Source organism: Homo sapiens, chromosome 10 (assembly GCF_000001405.40).
Source record: "Homo sapiens chromosome 10, GRCh38.p14 Primary Assembly".
NCBI classification, from domain to species: Eukaryota; Metazoa; Chordata; class Mammalia; order Primates; family Hominidae; genus Homo; species Homo sapiens.
In genome coordinates this window covers 74982080-74994630 of record NC_000010.11, presented here as the reverse complement: position 1 = coordinate 74994630, position 12551 = coordinate 74982080, and the positions used below count along the sequence as shown (strand labels likewise).

The 12551-nt window shown below is 38.7% G+C and overlaps 1 protein-coding gene across 35 annotated transcripts in view, besides 1 other annotated feature; it reads right to left on the bottom strand.

Moving 5' to 3' along the window:
• The window catches only part of KAT6B (lysine acetyltransferase 6B), a 207689-nt gene that overhangs the window by 37994 nt on the left and 157144 nt on the right, over positions 1 to 12551 (bottom strand). For 23 of the 35 annotated variants that reach the window (XM_047424912.1, XM_047424919.1, XM_047424927.1 and 20 more), the window contains 2 exons: positions 9390 to 9551; positions 5519 to 5612 (listed from right to left, as the gene is read on the bottom strand). In XM_047424912.1, coding sequence (XP_047280868.1) covers positions 5519 to 5612; positions 9390 to 9551 — 256 coding nt within the window. The remainder of the gene's footprint in view (positions 1 to 5518; positions 5613 to 9389; positions 9552 to 12551) is intronic. The other 12 variants (XM_047424913.1, XM_047424929.1, XM_047424922.1 and 9 more) reach the window with 1 other exon arrangement.
• Positions 12028 to 12077: an enhancer, noted in NCBI's record as "active region_3602". NCBI's record gives its function as "activates an Ori minimal core promoter by ATAC-STARR-seq in GM12878 lymphoblastoid cells {active_cell/tissue: GM12878}" and the evidence as "EXISTENCE:reporter gene assay evidence [ECO:0000049][PMID:35858748]".

Sequence of the window (12551 nt, the reverse complement as noted above, 5' to 3'; positions counted from 1 at the left end):
GTTTTTTTTTTGTAGAGACAGGGTTTCACCGTGTTGGCCAGGCTGGTCTTGAACTCCTGGCCTCAAGAGATCCGCCTGTCTCGGCCTCCCAAAGTGCTGGGATTACAGGCATGAGCCACCTCACCCAGCCCAGATCCTGGTTCCTAACTACTGTTCTCCACCATAAGGAACCAAGGCTTGGGAGAAATGGATGATTCCAGGGCTGGCTTAAGAAAAGGATAAGCTAAACCTGGAACATCATGCTGTGGCAGAAAGGAAGGAAGAATCCACAGGATGGAAGCATGTGGAAAAGGCACAAGAACCCACTTGAAACATTTGCTGATAAATAAATCTGGGACAATTTGATGTTTGGGGAACATCAAAATCAATCATGGTAATGACAGGTTATAACCTATAGAATAAAATTAAAACCCACAATTATACAAAAAAATTAAATAAATGGGGAAGAAGAAATAATTCTTCCTTCTAGAATGCCAATTAGTAAGTTGTAGAAAGAATGGAATTAGAAAATTACCATTTGGTAATTATCATAGTAATAATTATTTTAGATAAGAGCCATAAGTGAATGGTAAAACTAGGAGGTGAAAATTGGATGAGAATTGATATTTATATAATCCCAAAGTATCTTCTCACCAGATGCTTACTGATTACAAAGCGAAAAATGGTAATTTCACAGTGAAGAAGCCTGGCAGTTACCACCTTAACCCAGTGATGAGACAAATGTATTATCATATGATCCTGATGAAATGCACTGGGAAGGACATACGGTCACTTCTATGGTATTCCTGCCAAAAAATGTACAGCCTAAATCTAATCATGAGGAAACATCAGATAAGCCCAAATTGAGGCACACCATACAAAATAAATGGCCTGTATGCTTAAAAAATATCAAAATCATGGAAAACACGAAGCAAAGCAAAACAAAACAAAAAAGCAGGTACTATTCCAGATTAAAGGAGGCCCCAGGGACATAATTACATACTCCATGTGATCCTGGAGTAGGAGATTTTTCTTTTCCTCCAGAAAGAACATCAGTATAATCTCGCAAAATTTAAAATTTGAACAAATGTGCATAAATTACTTTAATATCTTGATTTTAATAATTTGTATTGTGGCTATATATGAGAGCATCTTTGTAGAAAAACTGCAATATTTAGGGGTAAAGGTGCAACACATCTTCAACTTACTCTCAAATGATTCTGAAAAGAAAATATGAGAGAGAAGAGAAACAAAGGGAGAGATTGAGAATAATAGAGCAGAAAACAGATGTGATAAAATGTGAACATGTGCAACAATGTACGGGAAATTTTGGTATTATTCTTAGAGCTTTTCTCTAAGTCTGAAATTATTTCAAAATTAAAGAAAAAAATAGTGAGATGGATAAGGCATTGCTGGGCAGCCCCAGCAGCAGAAGCAGTCCAGGGCTTGGGAGGGAGCACTCTGGGCCCCCAGTGCTCAGCAGTGGCTGGGAGAAGAAGAGCTCCTTGCCTTGACGGTGTGAGGCTCTGAAGTAGGAACTGCAAATGTTTTGTGGGCAAGGGAGTTCTCTGAAGTTCTGAGATGTCTGGTGGGGACGGAGGGAGAGAGAGATAGAAAGACTTTACAGACAGAGATGGGGAAGACTTTCAAATTTTCTGACTGAGAAAGGGAATCCTAGAATCCAAGAGGAAGGAATGCGTTCTCAACCAATCCACGATAGTCACTCTCTCCTCCACCCATTCCAATTGTGGGCAAAGAGTCATAAAACCCACTAGGGAGTTTATAACCAGATTGGGAGTTGGTGCCCTTTACTCACTCTGGCCAAACTCTGCAAATGGCCTCCTGGGGAGCCTTGCTCTGACAAATCCCAGAGAAGCTGGTCTAGGAAGTGATATACAAATGACTTACTCTGCAAGCAGCACATGGTCCCATGGATGACCATTCCACCTCACTCTGCTGCCCTGAAGAACAGTGTTCAAAGCCCTGCATTTGCAGTTCTTTATACAGACAGTCCTTGGCTTACAACTGGTTCAACTTACAACTTACAACTTGGTTCAACTTTACTATGGTATGATCAGTAAAAACCATACTTGATCGTTTCCTGGGCTAGCGATATGTGGTACAACACTCTTACATGAGATATTCAACACTTTATTATAGAATTGGCTTTGTGTTGGATGATTCTGCCCAACTGTAGGGTAATGTAAGTGTTCTGAGCACATTTAAAGTCCAGGCTAAGCTATGATGGTTGGTAGATTAGGTGTATTAAATGTATTTTTAATTTATGATATTTTCACTTTATGATGGGTTTATCAGCCCACAGCCCCACTGTAAGTCTAGGAGCATGTATATACACACAGTGCATCACATTCCACCCATGTCTGTGATCAAGTGTGCAAGTGGGCGGCTATATCTTTCTCCCTGCTCGTATCGTGTTTCAGCTTACTAAACTGGCAATTATAAAGATCTACCTGATTTACAACCTCATTTGACTTACTGAAAATACATCCCTGACCAAAAGGCCCCAGGCTCATTTACCAAATAGAAATAAAATAAATTTAACCATTAAAAAGTCCTTTAAAAAACCAGAGCAGATTTTAGAAAACCTGTAACCCTAGTTAGCTTTCTATCCTGGGCTCCAAATTATGAGATCAAAAATGATCATGAGAGGTCATGTGACTCATCCCTACCTTCAAAGGCTGGATTTCAATCATTTTGGAAAGATATTTATCTACTATTACTTTAAGTAACTTCCAAGAGAAGGTGCTATTAATTTCTTCAGCAGCCTACTCTATCTTCCTTAAAACTTTTATAGCCAAGAAATTCTTTTGGTTTTAAACTGAATTTCTATTGGGTTTACACCAGTTCCCATTTTCTTTGAGTGCTATAAAATTCTTCCCCTAGTTTCCCCTTCTCTGAGGGAATAACACCAGTCTCTTCAACTTTATTCAAATCTTTCACTGCACTTCTTAACTCACTCCAGTAGGGGCAATGCTAGGTGTACAGGAAAGAGAAAAGAAAAAAACCACACCCTCAGCACTACTTTGCCTGCTCACATCCTGGTGGACAGCATTCATCATGGTGGCCTGGAGCCACTGAGAAAAGGTTTCAATGTGTTCTGTAGTTTAATAATACAAGGTAGTTTCTAGTAACAGTTTTCACTAAAATGGTTAAAAAAAAGACATAGCATTTGAAGATAATGTATTTGTTACCCAGATTGTTCTCTTATGTAGAAGGCCTTAGTGCCAGATCATGCTGTACAAATAAGATACTACTGAATTTAGAGCTTGAACTTTTACCTAGTAAGTACCAGTTCCTTTTTAATTTTAGGTAGACAATGATTGTGGACAGCAACCATATATCAATTTGGAAATTTAGTTTATATCAATAAAATTTAATTTATATCATCTAATACATATTATTATAAAGGAAACTGTCCTAGTGGATACAGAGAAGTTGGAAGTATGAAACCTCCATCAATAATTATCATAAAAGGGTGAACAGAGTGTAAGTGTGATACCATATAGAATATGGTATAAGATAAAATAAAGGTATGAGATAAAATTCCAGGAGGTGGGATCAAAAAGCAGAGATTCTTGAGCTGGCTCTTAACAATGGGCAGGATTTTGAACAGACGGAGTCTAGGAAAGGACGAGGTGATCATTTCAAGGAAGGGACTGAATAGACAAAAAAATAGAGGTATAGGACCATGCTCAGACTATTTGAGAAAAAGGAGATTAGTAGATGAAAAAGCCTAAAGGACAGGCTGGAACTAGATGTTGGAAGACGTTAAATATTGAGCTAAGGAGTTTGCCTTATTCTGTAGGCATATAGATATGACCAAACATTTAAGGCTTGAATGGCTGCTATGCATACCAGAAACTATATTTATGAACTACTTATGAATGGTAGCCACACAAAACTAGAGAACAAGATAAATGGTTTTGCCCTCAGAAATGATTACAGCTAGGACTCTATAAAAATAAAAATGGTACACTGCATTTGGTAAGGTGGCCCTCCTTGGGATTACTGGTTTCATGGATAATTAGGTCAGGAAAGTATAGATAAGACTAGGGTAATTAATAAATAACTAAAAATATTATCTAAAAAGAGAAAAATAATCAAAATTCTTCTTTTAAAAGAATCATATTCTTCAATGTCAATAAATCATATAAATCAGTCCAAAACTGCTATTCAGTTATTTTACACTTTAATCAGACCTTAATCTTTTAATACCTAACAATATAGATTTAGATTCACTATATTTCTTCATGGTTTTCTGTAAGCGCATTTACATTGTGGTTTTTGCATCTGATGTAGCTGATGAAGATTGTGCAAAGTCCTAAATTTTCCTCCTTTCAGTTAATAATCAGATAAACTGCAATCTGGTAATCAAGAAGCACCTGGTTCCTAGCGACAGACTTTTTTTTTTTTTTTTTTTTTTTTTTTTTTTTTGAGACAGAGTCTCTCACTCTGTCACCCAGGCTGGAGTGCAGTGGCACCATCTCGGCTCACTGCAACCTCCACCTCCCGGGTTCAAGTGATTCTCCTGCCTCAGCCTCCCTAGTAGCTGGGAGTACAGGTGTGTGCCACCACATCCAGCTAATTTTTGTATTTTTTAGTAGAGATGGGGTTCACCATGTTGGCCAGGATGGTCTCGATCTCTTGATCTTGTGACCCACCTGCCTTGGCCTCCCAAAGTGCTGGGATTACAGGCATAAGCCACCACGCCCGGCCAGTGACAGATTTTTACATGACGAGAAATGACTATTATCATGGGTTATCTGGTCATCATGTTATCTAGATATTTTGAATTGATTCTCCAAATGTACCCCTAACACAACATTTACACATCCAGTATAATATAAACAAGGAGGAAAAAAAAAACTACCATTTTTAAAAACATTATCCATGTGCATACTTTTATATATTATGCCGGTTTTAACTGAGAAGGTTCAGAAGATATGAGTGCATATAAGATAAATATTTCTTGGGAAACCTCTAGATACAAACACTGTATTAATTTCCATAATAGAAAAGGGAAATTAACAAAATAAGGTAAGAGTTATTTCTACTAGCAAGGCCCAGGATAAGCTGCCTAGAAAATTATTTTTCTAAATGGAAATATACCTTTTCTGCTTTGTACTGTACAAGATTATAGGCAAAATTTCAGAGAGCTGAAAATCCTTTCAAATAATACTTCCTTTAGCTTTAATCACAAATAATTGCCTCTTTTGGTGCTAATGAGCATGAGCACCACAAAATGGAATGTAATTCTGTCGGTTCATTCAGGGTAATGGCTTTGTGCATGAGGCCTGCTGCCGAGAGATCTAGTCTCAATTTCCTAGAGTACAATCACTGAGCAGCAGTACATTTTTCACTTGAGGAAGATGTTCTAACCTATGTAAATATAAATAGAAAGCCCATTATCTATTGATAAAAACAACAATGCAGGTTAAATAAAGTTTTATATTTTACTGTTTCCTGTAACGGCCATCAGCTTCCTGGATCATGAAAGTAAATAAAGTACTTCACTTACTGAAATCAATGAGAAACCGTCCAAATCCTTGCCTTTGGTGCTGGGGCATGATCATTATGCAGGAGACATTATACTTCTGCTGGCAAAGCTTTTCCTGAGGGAAGGAGAAACAGATCAAGTATGTCAGAGCCCTGCTGAAGTGGGCAATTCCCTGCACCTGCCACTGTCCTTGTAAAACTGTCCACTAAAGAAAGCCAATGGGTTAGGTCAGGATCAAGCAGAAAAATCCTACTATATTAATCAATCAAACTATCAATTAACAACAAACCATCGACTCTGACATGCCTCTCAACTACATCTTTATTCTTGAAAGTCAGTGCCATAAAATATGCATAAAGAATCCAAGGAAATATATGAACCAAATAAAACAGAATATAGACAGCATAAAAGAAATGCTTTCCTTGCTCAAATAACTTCAGAGATAGAGAAAATAACATCCCAGGGAGTCACCCAGTGGAGTAAGTTAGGATTTAGCTGGCTATCTTGCTAAATATAATAATAATCTACAACTCTGCAACAGCAATCTGTCTTCTGCCTTTGGGCAAATGTCCCAGTGAAACTAAAACAGTATCTGTGTGGGTAGATGTGCACACATATATTTCTCCTATGAATAAAAAGTCAATGTAAAAAGCTAGAGAAATAATCTGCATTTCAAACCAGGAAAACAAAATAAAATGAAACAAAAAGACAACAACAAGAAACCCTAAAGCCTCCAAACAAAGGTTAGACCAAAATATTACGAACAGTTTGAAACCAGGAGGAAGACTGGGTAGAACATGGTAAGAAACAGCTCTTACAGTTAAAGAAGAATTTGCAACTTTCATGGGATGTGGCATCAGGGCAGTATTTTTTTATTCAGAGTACAAAGAAGTTGCCAAAACCTACACAGAGATCTGGAAAAGGCTTTTGAGGTCGTGGATGCTCTGGCCAAATATAAACCACAAATAAGACTGACCACAAATGGTACAGACCACACCAAAGAATTACTTCAGAACACCCAGATCTTTAATGAACCAATTTGAAAGATCACAGGAGATGGTTGTGGAAAAAACCCTACAGGGCAGAATTGAAGATTTCTTTGTGAAAAAGATGTACTCCCAACTTTTGCACATTTGTAGTTGTCTATGGAGCCTCTAAAAAATGAGGATGAAGCAATGTGTGTCAGTTTTTCTAAGAAGATGAATTGTCCCTCACTGGATGTGCACATCAATGGCAAAGGTTCAAGTAATTCGTCTGTTTTGCAAAGTTAGACAAATGGGTCACTCTCTCTAAAAAGAAATGTACTCTGGGTTAAGAGAATTCATCCTTGATACCATTCCTTGCTTTGTCCAGAACCATTTCCACCTTTCGGAGTTTTTTGAGATCCAACATAGTAGTGATCCTTCTTCCCCTCCGTGCAGCTTAACATGTTACTACAGCTAAATTCTAAGCTATGAATAAAATAACTAATCCTTCTTTCCTTTCTGTTTACAGCCATCTATTATGTGCTTGGAAAGTCATATGCATGTAACAATTTGCACTGAACCTTTCCAGGTCATTCCAGCCCTTCTCTGGCTATCCTTGAACTGTAGTTCTAATAACCTCTAGAATGTGGTTCAAGAATAGCCCCAAAGGGCCAGAGTCCTCTAGATTCCAGCTGACACATGAGAATATGGTTTAGTTTCATCTAGTCTTTTTTTTTTTGAGATGGAGTCTTGCTGTTGCCAGGCTGGAGTGCAGTGGTGCAATCTCAGCTCACTGCAACCTCCGCCTCCTGGGTTCAAGGGATTCTCCTGTCTCGGCCTCCAGAGTAGCTGGGATTACAGGGTGCCACAATGCCCAGCTAATTTTTGTATTCTTAGTACAGACGGGGTTTCACCATGTTGGCCAGGATGGTCTCTCGATCTCTTGACCTCATGATCTGCCCACCTCGGCCTCCCAAAGTGCTGGGATTACAGGCGTGAGCCACCGCACCCGGCCTCATCTAGTCTTTTAACATGCTTATTTTTTAGATTAATTTTTGTTTCACTATACTGCCAAGGCATATTAGTATTCCAGAATAGTAGGAAATAACAGCAGCTGCTGCCATGCTATAGAAGAAACTATGAGAAAAGTTGAGCTAGTTCTGAGTAAAATTTTGGGTACCCTGGCAGGAAGAGAGGCAGAAATTCAAACTTCAAGAATCACCACCAACTCTACACATGGCTGCTACTCAGCAGCCAACACAAGACCCAGGAGTGGGATGGTCAGTGCAGCACGAGGAAGGTGGGCACCGTTAAGCCTATGTTTAAATCCACAGACAATGAAAGAAACACCATTTTCTAACAGCAAGGACGCAACCACTATTCTTTTTAAGTTTCTGGAGAAGAATGATCTTGACAAACCTACATAAAAGGTAAGGTGTTTTATTTATTAATCATATAGATTTCCTATTTATTGTTTTATTCAGTGTTAATTCTCTATCATCTTTTGAATTTGTAATGTGCAAATTAACTTTCTTCTTTTTCATTTTAAAGCTTTACCAAATATGTGGATTAAAACACTGAGACAGTTTTCCATGAATGCTGTTACTTATTTTTGTTTATGATCTTTGGGTTGATTCTTAAATTTAGGATAGCTATAGTTTGCAAGTACCTTCACATATATTCTATCTTTTGAAACTTCATTAAAATGGCACTTCTATAAAGCATCCCATTTACATTGTGCAAGAGCAGATTCATTAAAATTCATGTATCACCTAATATAAAAAAATATCATAAATAAGAGAGTTTGGACCTTCTATCTAAAAGTCTCATAATTATTGTCTCTATTTATGTACCATCCTGGTACATTTAACTATTTCCTAGGTACCTCAGAAAAGTTAAGGTCATTACCTGGTAAACATCTCCAAACTCAGTTTTCCTTTATTGCAAAGGAGTTATTGTTTCTTAGAAGCCTTTGAGCAGAAGAATGTGAGTGAACTGCTCTGAACCAGTAAAAAGGACAAGCTATATCCGTCCCCTCAATATGTCGATTGTTTTCCCCACTCTAACAGCCAGAGATACTTAGGCTTTCTTTGTTCTTGTTTTGTTTTGTTTTGTTTTGTTTTTGAGATGGAGTCTCCCTCTGTTGCCAGGCTGGAGTGCAGTGGCGCGATCTCGGCTCACTGCAACCTCCACCTCCCAGGTTCAAGCAATTCTCCTGCCTCAGCCTCCCAAGTAGCTGGGACTACAGGCGTGCACCACCAGGCCCAGCTAATTTCTTGCATTTTTAGTAGAGATGGGGTTTCACCATGTTGGCCAGGATGGTCTCTATCTCTCGACCTCATGATCCGCCCACCCCGGCCTCCCAAAGTCCTGGGATTACACGCGTAAGCCACTGAGCCCGGCTGATACTTAGGCTTTCTAAAGGTGAGATTGCTTTAGAACTTAAAACCATAGCACAGAGAATAAGAGACAAAAGTGTAAAACCAGTCATTTTATCAGCTTGACTGTCCAAATGCCAGCGTCCTAACTCACTGAGATACTGTTGACCACAGAGGGAAGGCAACAAGGAGAAAGGAGAATTCTCTCTTAAATGCTACACTAAACTGAAACCTTCATGTTGACACCACTTAAAGGGAAAACGGAAATAAGCTAAACACTGAGAAAATCAAAGACGCTAAGTGGTCCACAAGGCAGCAATTAGAGTGTCATCAAGGCGGCACACAGTGCTGAGGTCCTTTACACACTTACTAGGCACCATGTTTTTTGTTTTCATCTTTTAAAATGAGCTCTGAACAAGAACCTGAGCTTTTCAAAAACACATGTCACTTATTCAAATTATAGTAATGAAAAAGCCCTGTTCAAAGAATTGGGCTCTACCAAAAACATTTTGAAAAAGAAAATGAAGGTCATGCTGGCTCTTGTTTTACCTTAGAGAAGTATCCAACCAGATGACAGCCCTTTTCATCATTTTTTGTAAGGACATAAAAAAGGAATGGCTCGACATCATAATACAACGTTTTGTGGTCCAGGAAGAGCTTGGCTAACAAGCAAAGGTTTTGGCAATAAATTTTGCTCATATTCCCATCAACCTAGCAAAAAGAAACAGACAACATTATTTAACATAAAAATACTGCACCATATAAAATTGTTTCTTCTATATGGTATTTCAGAAAGTACATCATTTTATTTCCAAATCCTAAACTGAGAGATTAAAACACTCTATTAAGCAAGTACAGCTTTAACCAGAAAACAGCTGTCACTGGCAAATCAGAATTCCACATTTTCTCTTAAATTAGGGTACATTTAAGGTAGTTAAAATTTCTCTTTAAGCTACCAAAGAAGGGCCAAACCACTAGTAAAGGAGTAATTTTTACTTGTAATTTATTCTGAGCTAAAAATGATCAGGCATGTCCTCTCTATCTGAACCGAATAAATCTGTATTAAGGAAATATAAACAGATCAAAATACTTCTCAAGTAAGTTAAACTTTATGTTGTTTCAAAAGGGTTTCACATAAAACTAAAATAAATGAACTGTATTATTCTGATTCCTCAGAAGTGTGGATTAGCAAAGAGGTTTCCATTTTGGTTTTATCCCAAGCATCATCTTAAATATAATTGGAAAAGATAAAATATCTATGTTGGGAATACTTACAGAGAAAGTGATATGAATTTCAACCTACAATAAGCACTATGATTACAGTCTACTTCTCTTCAAAATAAAAGAATCAAGCTGTGATACTGATGGCTATAGACAGGAGGCTAGGCACAGATGCCAATTTCTTTGATCAAATGTAGTTACTCTTTGAAAATAGAAAACACAGCAGATTCAAGAAGAATTTCCCTAGCACTTTTCTTAAGGGAAATGGATATTTGCTAACCAGAGCTCTGAAACAATGAACTTGACCATTCTCAGGTCTCCTGTGGACCATACGGGTTCTCATCTTGCACAAATTATTTTTAGATTTCATATAACTATTTCCCTCGGATGGAACCTAGGTCCCATACATAGCAACACAATCAAATATGGGCAATGGGCACAGAGGATACAATTCTCCCTTTAATTAAAGGAAGTTTACATGTATTTGAGAGTATGGCCCTTTTGGAAATGGTAGTATATTACAAAAAGGAAAGATGGAGATATACATAACTGTGAACCAGAAAAATACAGAGATGACAGTGCTGAAGAAAATTCTGATTGGTTGTGAAAAGTGTAAGAGGAATAAAGAAAGGGAAGGCCAGAAAATCGTAATGTGTGATTATTCCTCCTTTATTTTATAAGTTTTGTAAGAAACTGCTAGGAGAAAAGTTGCCCAAATGTTATACTCTATTAACTCAGATTCTAGAATAGGGACCTCGGTACTTATCAAATCCAACTCCTTATTCGTATAAGTGAATTTTACATACATGCTTCTGATGTCTCCCCTCTCATCTCTGGATGGTCCAAAAGCACCTGCCCTGAAAGAACAGCCCATTCTTACCATCCTAACAAGACTGATTCCCTTGCCCATGAGAAGACGTTCCATGGATTTATGAGAGCTTCAATCCCAGTGCTGACTCATGCTGATTTATGAAATAATTACTTAAGGCCAACAATGTGTTTTGAGCTTTGAGAAACAATGTTTTGGTTGGAAGAAAAGATCTAAGGCATCAAGGAAGGAGCCAATAGGAAAGCTGAACTTGTGACATTAGCTAAGCTTCAACTGTGAGCAGCTCTGTCACCTCAGCTGGCTGGGGCTGGCAGGATAGCATACCAACAGGAAGGTCAGGCAACGTGCATTCAGCCTTCCTTCTAGCCCACTGGTTCTTACTGGGGGTGATTCTGCGCCCCCAGGGGATGTTTGGCTACGTCTGGAGACATTTTTGGTTGGCACAACTGGAAGGGGTGGTGGTGCTACTGGCATCCAATTAGCAGAGGCCAGAGATGCTGCTAAACATCCTACGCTGTATAGCATAGCCCCTACAACAAAGAACTAACCAGCTTGAAATGTCAAAAGTGCCTAGCTTTTAGTAAGAACTAATATATCACCTAATCTTCCCAGCAACAATACCCTTCTTCCTCCAAGCTTACCGAAAGAGCTGATAGAAAAAGAGAAAGCTTTAAAAAAATCATAAGACACAACTGGAGTTTCCCATGTTCTCTGATCAGTCTTGGGGAAAAACTAGTGGGCCCAGACCTGTCTGAGAAGGAGCCTGGTCCATGTGAGAAACCTACAACCTTCCCTTTATTTAATAGGATGGCAAGACACTGCAGGCCAGAAATAAAGAGAACTGTAAGGCAGAATAATAAGTTTCAGCCTGAACAATTCAGAAAAAGAAAATCCAGAAGTGAAACTATATTCCAGAGAAAGAGGACATCACGTTTGCTGTACAAGGTAGGCTTGTTTCAAGCACCTAGGAATGAGCACCAATGCACACCACAATGGGTCACAGAGGAGAAAATGCAGCAGACAACAGAAGTGTGCAAGTGGAGGGAAGAGCATAAAGGAGAAACGTGAAAAGCCCTGCAGACAGACAGTAACCTGTGAGAAAGGCATGGTCTCCTCAAGGTGAAACTGACTCAGCTTAACGGAATCCCTGAAACTGACAACAGATACATAATTAAACAATGCAACTATATAGAGGCAAAGGCCTGCTACGAAATCAATTCTGGAAATACAAAATGTCTTCAAGAAACCCACAATGACAGACATATGGCCACAAGGGGTTCCTGTGAACAGCAGAGTTCTTCAGGGGTGGCCATCTACCCAGATGGGAGGGAGTCCCAACATCTGCTAGGGTCTCACCAAAAGGATTATCCACACTGCCAAGAAGTGGATGGAAACACAGGTGGTTGTGTATTGAGGAGATATGTACAGCTGCTCAATTCCCTGGAAGAGTGAGCACCTGCCAGACATTGGCTGGAGCTGCTGAACAAAGCTCATTTCTCCTGCCAAAGAAAGTAGAATTTACAAAGAGCTGAGGAGATCATAAATTCATGGTGAATATATCTAGTGTAGACAGGGATTTTGGGGAAGACAAAAATGTTAATGTGATGAAGTAGGGATTCTTCATCAGTCTAAATGGTTGCTTAATATGGTTAGATAAACAT